Below are 12753 nucleotides of genomic sequence, written 5' to 3'. Positions count from 1 at the left end.
CAGATGGGTGAGGAATTATGCCATTTAAAAGTCCAGGTTCAAGAGATAAACTGTGAAGTTTCCCAAGTACAGCTGCTGAGCCTGAGGAGCCACAGGGGGATGGTATCTTAAGAGATTTAGTCAGCTGTCTGAAAGATGCTTCTTTCGGGTCAGAAAGGACTCAAGGCCTTTCTCTTTTTTCTCCTCCTGTCTTTTTGCTCTTGCTGTGGTTATTCTGTATAAGAAAGTTAAGCAAAAGGGGACAGAAAAAAACAGGATGAAGATAAAAAAATAGAAAATGGAAATAGGGGAGATGTATATTTTAATTTCTCTTTTCTGCAAAACATCTGGGTGGAAAATGATGAGGCCAAACAAAGTGGCTTGTTAACAAATGACTTGTTAACAGAACATAAGCTAGAGGATTATATGATCTATATGGAAATGATCCTGCACATAGTAGGCGCTTAACCAATAGTAGCTATTTTCACCTTAGCAATGAAAATGTTTTTCTTTCTGCTTCTTTAAGAGTGCAGCTCCAAGACTCCTCTGCCAGACACTCTCATGGGTAGTTTCTTTTCATTCAATCCATATTTACTGGAGGCCTACTACATGCCTGGCTCCGTGCAAATGCTGGAGCTTTTGCCAAATCCTCCTACTTTATGCTAAAAACAAGAAACAAAAGAGTGAAAAAGTAGGTTTTCTTTGATTAAATAGTGAACAAGACTAATTTTCCTCTCTCACTCCCTTCCTTCCTTCCTTCAGCGGTATTCTTGTGTAAAACACCGATAGCTGTGCTTTAGAAAACCCCAAACAAGTCTTAACAGCACCTTGGAATGCACACACTGTTTACCATTTGCTATGTGAGCACCCAGCCTCCCGTCAACAAAGAAAACCTTTGCCCTCTCTGCATCCCTGCAATCCCAGTCAGCCCCTATCCCCTTGCACTTTAAGCAGAAGTCCCTGTTTGTGCTCTCACTAAAGATAGCTTCTGCTTCTCTGGCCATCAGGTGACATTTTGTTGAATGTGGATGGGGTCGAACTGACAGAGGTCAGCCGGAGTGAGGCAGTGGCATTATTGAAAAGAACATCATCCTCGATAGTACTCAAAGCTTTGGAAGTCAAAGAGTATGAGCCCCAGGAAGACTGCAGCAGCCCAGCAGCCCTGGACTCCAACCACAACATGGCCCCACCCAGTGACTGGTCCCCATCCTGGGTCATGTGGCTGGAATTACCACGGTAAGTCCAAACACAACATCCCTGTAGGGGCGTGGGAGAAAACGATTACATTTCTTAAACCACTCTTTCACTCTCTAGGGCTGATTCATGGCACTAGCATCTTAATTAGACCCAGTCTTGGTTGTGGGACTGTGAAATAATTCTCTCTTCCCATTTGTAACTGAAAATGCATGCGGACATTCTAGGGCAAAGACAAAAGCCTGGATGTGGAAATACTGTTTGGCGTTCAGGTTGAGGAGCTCACAGGACTGCCATGTACAGCTGTGTAGGTTGTTCATGCAGCAGAGAGCTCCACAGACAGGCAGAGGGGGCAGAGACCCAGCCTGTGTTTACACCCCTTGGAGCTGAGTTGCACTGCCTAGGAGAAGGTTCACCTTCGCCTAATCTGCTAGTGGCAGCCCTGGGATCTTGCAGGGAGGCTGACTGCCTTCTGTGGCTTTATTTTATTTTATTTTTATATAGAGTCTTGCTCTGTCACCCAGGCTAGAGTGCAGTGGTGCAATCTCGGCTCACTGCAACCTTGGCCTCCTGGGTTCAAATGATTCTCCTACCTCAGCCTCCCCAAGTAGCTGGGATTACAGGCACACACCACCACGCCCAGCTCATTTTTGTATTTCTAGTAGAGACGGGGATTCACCATGTTGCCCAGGCTGGTCTCAAACTCCTGACTTCAATCAATCTGCCTGCCTCGGCCTGGCAAAGTGCTGGGATTACAGGTGTGAGCCACCATGTCCAGCCAGTTTTATCTTTTGAGTGGCCTTGGCTGCACATAAAACAATGCCCCAGAGCACTTCGCCTTTGCTAAGATGTTTAAGCACCTTTTGTTTGGAGACATTTCTTAGATCATCTCTCCTTAGGGCCTGCTCCTGAGGAGTTCTTGTGTAAAACTTCAGGAAGTAGCTGGGTTGTCATTTTAGTGACATTTTAGAGCCTTACAGTGACGTAATTACTTGTCTCACTTAATTACTTCAGGGAAGAATTTGGGGTCAGCCCTACAAAATGGCCAGTACAGAACTATTCAAAGAACAGACAAGTTGGTGTTTGCTCACCTGCATGAGAGCATAAACTGTTGGCCTTCAGATGATTATCTTGCTGTTCCAATGTGTGAATAATGCTAAATATTAGCATCACTGAAGATATACTAGCATAGGACTAAATATGGAAAAATGAAAGTGAGACGTTTAGTTTTAGTACGTTTTTCTTGAGGGTGGAGATAAGTCTCTCTCTCTTTTTACATTTCAAATGAGTTTTTTAAGAAAAACAAAACCCTGCCTCAAATACAAAATTAACTAGATTCCTTTTTGAGCCTTCACTAGTTGATAAATTATTTTCTAAATCAGTACATTTTCAAAAGTCCTTAAACAGTTAAAATCTGAGCGTTGAGTCAGTTTAAAACCCTTTAGACATTTTAGAACTGAGCCTGAGTGAAAGTAGAGAGTATGACTTTAAAGTTTTATTTTTAAAAATCTTTCTGAAACTAGGATCTATTAAAATTATTTTGTTTTTTGTGTTTGAAAGCTATTCTGTCATGTAATCAAAGTCCTTCATTATTCATTTGTGTAAGAGAGGACAATGTGAGGTGCTTTTTGCTCCAAATACAACCAAGCGAATGTCTTTCTTCCCCTCTACCTTTTGTCATTTGCCCTTGGGCATGGCACTTCTCTACTTTTGCTGGAAGTAGTCTGGGCTGGGTGTGGTGGCTCATGCCTGTAATCCCAGCAGTTTGGGAGGCTAAGGTGAGTGGATCACTTGAGACCAGGAGTTCAAGACCAGCCTGGCCAACATGGCAAAACCGCATCTCTACTAAAAATACAAAAAATTAGCCAAGCGTGGTGGCACACGCCTGTAGTCCCAGCTACTCGGGAGGCTGAGGCATGAGAATTGCTTGAACCCAGGAGGCGGAGGTTGCAGTGAGCTGAGATCGCGCCACTGCACTCCAGCCTGGGTGACAGAGAGAGACTCTGTCTCAAAAAAAAAAGAAGAAGTAGAGTCTGCACTTTGCTCATTTCCTCTAAATGGACAGTGGTAAGGAAGCATGATATCCCGGCATAGACAACACTGATTTTCAGAACCCTGGAGATTCCTGGTTTCTTTCATTCCATCCTCTCCCTGTAGTAACAGAATAAACATGGTAGAAAATTCAGAATGCACCAAAGAATGTAAAGAGAACAAAAAGTAAGTCTCCCTCCCTTCAGATTCATTCAATAAAGGTGATCACCATTATCAATTTCTTGTGTATTCTATGTCAGAGGTTGGCAAATCTTTTCTAAAAAGGGCCTGATAGTTTAGGCTTTGAGGGCCACGCAGTCTCTGTGGCAATTACTCATTTCTGCTGTTGTGGTGTGAGAGCAGCCACAGGCAATACATGAATGAATGAGGAAGGCTGTGTTCCAATAAAATTTTACTTATAAAACCAGGTGTTGGGTTGGGCTGTAAATTGCTCACCCCTGGCCTGTGTTTATATGTATACACACACATACACACAAACACAATGGTAGCATATACACTCCTATGTACCATGCATTTTATTTAAAAACAAATCTGATGTTCTTGGGTATCATGATAGGCACTGCACCATCGTTGTATCCACTGCCAATTAGGAACTGGTTAAATAAGTTATGGTACATCTAAACAGCCATGCGCCAGGTTGCCTGGATATCAAATTATTGTATCACTTCATTCCTATAGGACTACATAGGCATTGCATCACTGCTAAGTAGCATTGAATGGTGTGGAGAAGTGGGAGGCTCATGTCATTTCTTTCCCTCCATATGTGGCTTGGTCTTTTTACTTAACGTTCAAAATAACTGTTCTATTATTTTGTAGCTGCTTTTCAGGGACTCTAGAAATTTGTTTCTTTGATATATTTTATATTTCATATATTTAGTGTTCTCGGATCCTTTTCAACTCTTTTTTCTCCATTTTGCTTTCTTGGCTTTTAACTTTTATTTTAGGTTCAGGGGTACATGTGCAGGTTTGTTATATAGGTAAACTCATGTCACAGGGGTTTGTTGTACAGATGAGTTCAGTACCCAGGTACTAAGCCTAGTACTCATTAGTTATATTTGCTGATCCTCTTCCTCCTTCCATCCTCCACCCTCAAGTAGGCCCTGGTGTCTGTTGTCACCCTCATTGTGTCCATGAGTTCTCATCATTTTAGTTCCCACTTATAAGTGAGAACATGAAGTATTTGGTTTTCTGTTCCTGAGTCAGTTTGCTAAGGATAATGTCCTCCAGATCCATCCGTATTCCCACAAAAGACATGATCTTGTTCTTCTTTATGACTGCATCGTATTCCATGATGTATATGTACCACATTTTCTTTATCTAGTCTACCATTGATGGGCATTTAGGTTGATTCTGTATCTTTGCTATTGTAAATAGTGCTGCATGTTTTCCTGGCTTATTTGCATCTTTCCTTCAATGCTCACTGTGTTTTCAATATTATTTCTGTTCCTTTGCAGCCACTTTCATTGCTGTGGTGTTTTTATTTTTCTCTTCCACTTTTGTGTTCTGTTCCATTGGCTCATTTCTTCTGTTGTCTCATCTTCCTTGAAGTCTTATCTCTGCATTGAGCTCTTGTTCATAGAGCAGTTGCTTCAGAAATATTTTACATTCATAGTAATATGGTTGGTTATCAATTTTCTTTTCTTTTCTTTTCTTTTTTTACCTCACTAACCAACTTTATTTAGTTTTAAGAAATCACCTTCCGTATTTCATAGTCAAGGCCTGAGAGTCACAAAAAAATTTGAAAATCACTCCAGAAGGTGCATTAAAAACTTCTTTCTACTTGGCCAGCATTTAACTCAGAAACTAGCAAACTCAGTTATTCTCTTCTTACTGGTAGGGTTATTTCACCTTAGCCTTTTCCAGCTTTACAACACAGCACAATATAACAACTCTCTGGAACACTCATTTCTCTCATTGCCATTAGCATCTCTTTTATCAGCCTTCCCCCTGCTTGGCCTCTATATCTGCTTTCATACACCTTTGGCGGCTTTCACGTTCATCAATTATATTGCAAAGAGTCCTTTACTTCCCCATTGTTTTTTGTTTTTTTTTTTTTTGTTGTTGTTGTTGTTGTTGTTGAATAAATCATTGTTCAAATAAATGATTTAATACAGAAAATCAAAATTTGTACCTTTTTCAAATAAAAATAAAATAAAAATTTCCAGTATTTTCAGGCATGTTGTAAGATTTCACTTCCCACTTTTTTGTTTTTTATTATTAGGATCCCTTGTGTCTTTCTTCTTCTTCTTTTTTTTATTATACTTTAAGTTTTAGGGTACATATGCACAACGTGCAGGTTAGTTACATATGTATACATGTGCCATGCTGGTGTGCTGCACCCATTAACTCGTCATTTAGCATTAGGTATATCTCCTAATGCTATCCCTCCCCCATCCCCCAACCCCACAACAGTCCCCGGTGTGTGATGTTCCCCTTGCTGTGTCCATGTTTTCTCATTGTTCAATTCCCACCTATGAGTGAGAATATGCAGTATTTGGTTTTTTGTCCTTGCAATAGTTTGCTGAGAATGATGGTTTCCAGCTTCATCCATGTCCCTACAAAGGACATGAACTCATCCTTTTTTATGGCTACATAGTATTCCATGGTGTATATGTACCACGTTTTCTTAATCCAGTCTATCATTGTTGGAAATTTGGGTTGGTTCCAAGTCTTTGTTATTGTGAATAGTGCCGCAATAAACATAAGTGTGCATGTGTCTTTATAGTAGCATGATTTATAATCCTTTGGGTATACACCCAGTAATGGGATGGCTGGGTCAAATGGTATTTCCAGTTCTAGATCCCTGAGGAATCGCCACACTGACTTCCACAATGGTTGAACTAGTTTACAGTCCCACCAACAGTGTAAAAGTGTTTCTATTTCTCCACATCCTCTCCAGCACCTGTTGTTTCCTGACTTTTTAATGATCGCCATTCTAATTGGTGTGAGATGGTATCTCATTGTGGTTTTGATTTGCATTTCTCTGATGGCCAGTGATGATGAGCATTTTTTCATGTGTCTGTTGGCTGCATAAATGTCTTCTTTTGAGAAGTGTCTGTTCATATCCTTTCCCCACTTTTTGATGGGGTTTTTTTTTCTTGTAAACTTGTTTGAGTTCATTGTAGATTCTGGATATTAGCCCTTTGTCAGATGAGTGGATTGCAAAAATGTTCTCCCATTCTGTAGGTTGCCTGTTCACTCTGATGGTAGTTTCTTTCGCTGTGCAGAAGCTCTTTCATTTAATTAGATCCCATTTGTCAATTTTGGCTTTTGTTGCCATTGCTTTTGATGTTTTAGACATGAAGTCCTTGTCCATGCCTATGTCCTGAATGGTAATGCCTAGGTTTTCTTCTAGGGTTTTTATGGTTTTAGGTCTCACATATAAGTCTTTAATCCATCTTGAATTAATTTTTGTATAAGGTGTAAGGAAGGGATCCAGTTTCAGCTCTCTACGTATGGCTAGCCAGTTTTCCCAGCACCATTTATTAAATAGGGAATCGTTTCCCCATTGCTTGTTTTTGTCAGGTTTGTCAAAGATCAGATGGTTGTAGATATGCGGCATTATTTCTGAGGGCTCCGTTCTGTTCCATTGGTCTATATCTCTGTTTTGGTACCAGTACCATGCTGTTTTGGTTACTGTAGCCTTGTAGTATAGTTTGAAGTCAGGTAGTGCGATGCCTCCAGCTTTGTTCCTTTGGCTTAGGATTGACTTGGCAATGCGGGCTCTTTTTTGGTTCCATATGAACTTTAAAGTAGTTTTTTCCAATTCTGTGAAGAAAGTCATTGGTAGCTCGATGGGGATGGCACTGAATCTATAAATTACCTTGGGCAGTATGCCCATTTTCATGATAATTGATTCTTCCTACCCATGAGCATGGAATGTTCTTCCATTTGTTTGTATCCTATTTTATTTCATTGAGCAGTGGTTTGTAGTTCTCCTTGAAGAGGTCCTTCACGTCCCTTGTAAGTTGGATTCCTAGGTATTTTATTATCTTTGAAGCAATTGTGAATGGGAGTTCACTCATGATTTGGATCTCTGTTTGTCTGTTATTGGTGTATAAGAATGCTTGTGATTTTTGCACGTTGATTTGTATCCTGAGACTTTGCTGAAGTTGCTTATCAGCTTAAGGAGATTTTGGGCTGAGATGATGGGGTTTTCTAGATATTCAGTCATGTCATCTGCAAACAGGGACAATTTGACTTCCTCTTTTCCTAATTGAATGCCCTTTATTTCCTTCTCCTTCCTGATTGCCCTGGCCAGAACTTCCAACACTATGTTGAATAGAAGTGGTGAGAGAGGGCATCCCTGTCTTGTGCCAGTTTTCAAAGTGAATGCTTCCAGTTTTTGCCCATTCAGTATGATATTGGCTGTGGGTTTGTCACAGATAGCTCTTATTATTTTGAGATACGTCCCATCAATACCTAATTTATTGAGAGTTTTTAGCATGAAGGTTGTTGAATTTTGTCAAAGGCTTTTCTGCATCTATTGAGAAAATCATGTGGTTTTTGTCTTTGGTTTTGTTTATATGCTGGATTACGTTTATTGATTTGCATATGTTGAACCAGCCTTCCATCCCAGGGATGAAGCCCACTTGATCATGGTGGATAAGCTTTTTGATGTGCTGCTGGATTTGGTTTGCCAGTATTTTACTGAGGATTTTTGCATTGGTGTTCATCCAGGATATTGGTCTCAAATTCTCTTTTTTTGTTGTGTCTCTGCCCGGCTTTGTTATCAGGATAATGCTGGCCTCATAAAATGAGTTAGGGAGGATTCCCTCTTTTTCTATTGATTGGAATAGTTTCAGAAGGAATGGTACCAGCTCCTCCTTGTACTTCTGGTAGAATTCGGCTGTGAATCCATCTGGTCCTGGACTTTTTTTGGTTAGTAAGCTATTAATTATTGCCTCAATTTCAGAGCCTGTTATTGGTGTATTCAGAGATTCAGCTTCTTCCTGGTTTAGTCTTGGGAGGGTGTATGTGTCGAGGAATTTATCCATTTCTTCTAGATTTTCTAGTTTATTTGCATAGAGGTGTTTATAGTATTCTCTGATGGTAATTTGTATTTCTGTGGGATTGGTGGTGATATCCCCTTTGTCATTTTTTATTGCATCTATTTGATTCTTCTCTCTTTTCTTCTTTATTAGTCTTGCTAGCAGTCTATCAATTTTGTTGATCTTTTCAAAAAACCAGCTCCTGGATTCATTGATTTTTTGAAGGGTTTTTTGTGTCTCTATTTTCTTCAGTTCTGCTCTGATCTTAGTTATTTCTTGCCTTCTGCTAGCTTTTGAATGTGTTTGCTCTTGCTTCTCTAGTTCTTTTAATTGTGATGTTAGGGTGTCAATTTTAGATCTTTCCTGCTTTCTCTTGTGAGCATTCAGTGCTATAAATTTCCCTTTACACACTGCTTTGAATGTGTCCCAGAGATTCTGGTACGCTGTGTCTTTGTTCTCGTTGGTTTCAAAGAACATCTTTATTTCTGCCTTCATTTCGTTATGTACCTAGTAGTCATTCAGGAGCAGGTTGTTCAGTTTCCATGTAGTTGAGCAGTTTTGAGTGAGTTTCTTAATCCTGAGTTCTAGTTTGATTGCACTGTGGTCTGAGAGACAGTTTGTTATAATTTCTGTTCTTTTACATTTGCTGAGGAGTGCTTTACTTCCAACTATGTGGTCAGTTATGGAATAGGTGTGGTGTGGTGCTGGAAAGAATGTATATTCTGTTGATTTAGGGTGGAGAGTTCCGTAGATGTCTATTAGGTCTGCTTGGTGCAGAGCTGAGTTCAATTCCTGGATATCCTTGTTAACTTTCTGTGTCGTTGATCTGTCTAATGTTGACAATGGGGTGTTAAAGTCTCCCATTATTATTGTGTGGGAGTCTAAGTCTCTTTGTAGGTCACTAAGGACTTGCTTTATGAATCTGAGTGCTCCTGTATTGGGTGCATATATATTTAGGATAGTTAGCTCTTCTTGTTGAATTGATCCCTTTACCATTATGTAGTGGCCTTCTTTGTCTCTTTTGATCTTTGTTGGTTTAAAGTCTGTTTTATCAGAGACTAGGATTGCAACCCCTGTCTTTTTTTGTTTTCCATTTGCTTGGTAGATCTTCTTCCATCCCTTTATTTGAGCCTATGTGTGTCTCTGCACTTGAGATGGGTTTCCTGAATACAGCACACTGATGGGTCTTGACTTTATCCAGTTTGCCAGTCTGTGTCTTTTAATTGGAGCATTTAGCCCATTTACATTTAAGGTGAATATTGTTATGTGTGAATTTGATCCTGTCATTATGATGTTTGCTGGTTAGCTTGCTCATTAGTTGATGCAGTTTCTTCTTAGCCTCGATGGTCTTTACAATTTGGCATGTTTTTGCAGTAGCTGGTAACGGTTGTTCCTTTCCATATTTAGTGCTTCCTCCAGGAGCTCTTTTAGGGCAGGCCTGGTGGTGACAAAATCTCTCAGCATTTGCTTGTCTGTAAAGTATTTTATTTCTCCTTCACTTATAGAGCTTATTTTGGCTGGATATGAAATTCTGGGTTGAAAATTCTTTTCTTTTAAGGATGTTGAATATTGGCCCCCACTCTCTTCTGGCTTGTAGAGTTTCTGCCGAGAGATCAGCTGTTAGTCTGATGGGCTTCCCTTTGTGGGTAACCCGACCTTTCTCTCTGGCTGCCCTGAACATTTTTTCCTTCATTTCAACTTTGGTGAATCTGACAATTATGTGTCTTGGAGTTGCTCTTCTTGAGGACTATCTTTGTGGCATTCTCTGTATTTCCTGAATTTGAATGTTGGCCTGCCTTGCTAGATTGGGGAAGTTCTCCTGGATATTATCTTGCAGAGTGTTTTCCAACTTGGTTCCATTCTCCTCGTCACTTTCAGGTACACCAATCAGACATAGATTTGGTCTTTTCACATAGTCCCATATTTCTTGGAGACTTTGTTCATTTCTTTTTATTCTTTTTTCTCTAAACTTCTCTTCTCGCTTCATTTCATTCATTTTGTCTTCCATCGCTGATACCCTTTCTTCCAGTTGATCGCATCGGCTACTGAGGCTTGTGCATTCGTCACATAGTTCTCGTGCCGTGGTTTTCAGCTCCATCAGGTCCTTTAAGGACTTCTCTGCATTGGCTATTGTAGTTAGCCATTTGTCTAATTTTTTTTCAAGGTTTTTAACTTCTTTGCCATTGGTTCAAACTTCCTCCTTTAGCTCGTAGTAGTGTGATCTTCTGAAGCCTTCCTCTCTCAACTTGTTGAAGTCATTCTCTGTTCAGCTTTGTTCCATTGCTGGTGAGGAGCTGCATTCCTTTGGAGGAGGAGAGGCGCTCTGATTTTTATAGTTTCTGGTTTTTCTGCTCTGTTTTTTCTCCATCTTTGTGGTTTTATCTACCTTTGGTCTTTGATGATGGTGACGTACTGATGGGTTTTTGGTGTCGATGCCCTTTCTGTTTGTTAGTTTTCCTTCCAGCAGTCAGGACCCTCAGCTGCAGGTCTGTTGGAGTTGGCTGTAGGTCCACTCCAGACCCTGTTGCCTGAGTATCAGCAGCGGTGTCTACAGAACAGTGGATATTGGTGAAACGCAAATGCTGCTGCCTGATCATTCCTCTGAAGTTTTGTCTCAGAGGAGTACCCAGCCATGTGAGGTGTCAGTCCGCCCCTACTGGGGGGTGCCTCCCAGTTAGGCTACTCGGGGGTCAGGGACACACTTGAGGAGGCAGTCTGCCCGTTCTCAGATCTCAAGCTGCTTGCTGGGAGAACCACTAGTCTCTTCAAAGCTGTCAGACAGGGACATTTAAGTCTGCAGAGGTTACTGCTGCCTTTTGTTTGTCTGTGCCCTGCCCCCAGAGATGGAGCCTACAGAGAAGCAGGCCTGCTTGAGCTGTGGTGGGCTTCACCACAGTGGAGCTCCACCCAGTTTGAGCTTCCAGGCCACTTTCTTTACCTACTCAAGCCTGGGCAATGGCGGGCGCCCCTCCCCCAGCCTTGCTGCCACCTTGCACTTTACTGCTGTGCTAGCAATGAGCAAGGCTCCTTGGGCATAGGACCCTCCGAGCCAGGTGCGGGATATAATCTCCTGGTGTGCTGTTTGTTAAGCCCATTGGAACAGCACAGTATTAGGGTGGAAGTGACCCGATTTTCCAGGTGCCGTCTGTCACCCCTTTCTTTGACTAGGAAAGGGAATTCCCTGATCCCTTGTGCTTCCCGGGTGAGGCGACGCCTTGCCCTGCTTTGGCTCGTGCTCGGTGTGCTGCACCCACTGTCCTGCACCGTCTGGCACTCCCTAGTGAGATGAACCCAGTATCTCAGTTGGAAATGCAGAAATCACCCATCTTCTGCATCACTCACGCTGGGAGCTGTAGACTGGAGCTGTTCCTATTCGGCTGTCTTCAGGTTTCTTTTTAAACATATTTTTTACGATCATTTAAATTTTAATCAAAGCTGCTTTAAGTATGTAGTTCAACATTATTGGCCAAATTAGAGAAGTAGCCTATTTATAGATGGTGAATATAACTTCATTGGATTTTTATCAAGACAAGACATACCTTTTCTGAAAACAGTACAATATTAGTGATTCCAAATAATATGTGATTTTTTTTTTCTTAAAACAAAAAGTTTATGCTGCTTTTACTCCTCTGTGGAGCTTGGGTTTGCAGCTGTCATTGTTGGTGAAGTAGTAAAACCACTTGTGGAGAGGTGTTGGCTAATAAAACAATGGAATCATAAATGCCTCTTACAAACAAAAAGCCAAAATAATTTTTTGAAAGAGTATTTAATTAAAGTCACTGGAAGTAGATGCCAATATACTATGCACAAACTCTATACTTTGTGGACTTCCTATAATAAAGTAGCATTTTAAGTTAGTAAGATTAAAAATGTGTATACACATTGCCAAGGTATTTGTGAAAACTAAAATTTGCTTAGAAACATTGGGTGAATCTGTGGTAAAAAGGGTACTATGTTTCATAACTAGTGATATGAAAACCAACTTCAAAAAAAGCTAGCAACATATTTTTCATTTTAACTTGAATACACAGGCAAATCTTTTTAGTGTATGTACAATTTAAACATGTATCAGAATTTTTAAAAAGTTCTTTGGCAATAAACACAACTAGCTCTGGACCATACAAAACTAAGGAAGTTTACATTGTTGGTGAATTGGAAGTTTTAGGTAGGGGTATGTTATGCTGGTGCAGTTGCATTGATTGTAAAACTTTCTGGAGTACTGGCTCCCCAGATTAAAGCAGCTGCTGGAGAAGAATGTAACTTAATACAGTGCCTCCTTCAGAAAATTTTGCCGTGATGTCAGCCAAACTAAATAATGTGTTTAGTGATATGGCAAAAATTGTGACTACATAAAGGCTAGTGCATTAGATACTAGTTTACTAGTTTATTCTCTTTATTATGTGATAATAAGGAAGCTAATCATAACGAACTATTCATGCTAACAAGTAAAGAGAAGTTCTGTCAAAAATGTTTGAACCATAGATCCAAACCCTTATTTTCTCTGCAAGATAGGAAGCCAGTTTGGTCCCAACTTTTT

At 40.5% G+C, this 12753-nt stretch overlaps 1 protein-coding gene across 5 annotated transcripts in view; it reads left to right on the top strand.

Annotated features, from left to right (window-relative positions):
* Positions 1–12753, top strand: part of LNX1 (ligand of numb-protein X 1) — a 193177-nt gene that overhangs the window by 174510 nt on the left and 5914 nt on the right. For all 5 annotated transcript variants that reach the window (XM_005265785.6, NM_001126328.3, XM_024454262.2 and 2 more), the window contains one exon: positions 987–1215. In XM_005265785.6, coding sequence (XP_005265842.1) covers positions 987–1215 — 229 coding nt within the window. The remainder of the gene's footprint in view (positions 1–986; positions 1216–12753) is intronic.

Source organism: Homo sapiens, chromosome 4 (genome assembly GCF_000001405.40).
Source record: "Homo sapiens chromosome 4, GRCh38.p14 Primary Assembly".
In the NCBI taxonomy this organism is placed as follows: domain Eukaryota; kingdom Metazoa; phylum Chordata; class Mammalia; order Primates; family Hominidae; genus Homo; species Homo sapiens.
Note: the sequence above shows the minus strand (reverse complement) of the source record. Positions and strands in the feature narration are given on the sequence as shown.